Raw genomic sequence first — 726 nt, 5'->3', positions numbered from 1 at the left:
AAAATGTTAAGAAAATTTTTGTCTTATGTGAATATTGACCAAAGGATCACCTTAGCAGAGGAAAATTTTGATAGTCAAGTAGATAGGATAACCCGTTCTGTGGATATCAGCCAGTCTCTTTCCTTAACCACCTCTGTCATTGCCCTATGGACTCACGAACAAAGTGGCCATGATGGCAGGGATTCAGGTTATGCATGGCCTTAGCAACACGAACTTCTACTTACTGAGATTGACCTGGTTACAACACCTGTTAAGACTCCAATTTGCCTATAGCAGAGACCAATAATGAGACCCCAGTTTGGCAACATTCCCTGGGTATGATGCCAGTTATCAGCCAGCGATCTTGTGTCAAACAAGATCTTGTGTCCTGAAAACAACCAAAAATACACTAACTTTTTCCCGGAAGAGGATGCAAAGTCCTTGGGTGTTGTTTACTTTTCTCTTTGGTATCTCATTATTCAATACTACAATGTAAAGTAAACAATACATGAACATTATGATATAGAGTCAATACATCCTATATTACATGTCAAAGGAATAAGAGAAGGAAGGAAACATATTTTTATACATATAAATATATATTTATAACAAAATAAGGAAGAAATAATTATGACAATTACAATCCTAATTTCAATAACTGGTCACGTGGTCATAGCTGGTATTTATAACTACTTTCTTCCACTACTCATTAGGTATTCCCTTAGCCTTCAGCAAGTACCTCAACTG

Source organism: Homo sapiens, chromosome 5 (genome assembly GCF_000001405.40).
Source record: "Homo sapiens chromosome 5, GRCh38.p14 Primary Assembly".
NCBI lineage: Eukaryota > Metazoa > Chordata > Mammalia > Primates > Hominidae > Homo > Homo sapiens.
The sequence above is the reverse complement of the archived record's forward strand: the minus strand, read 5'-3'. Positions refer to the sequence as shown.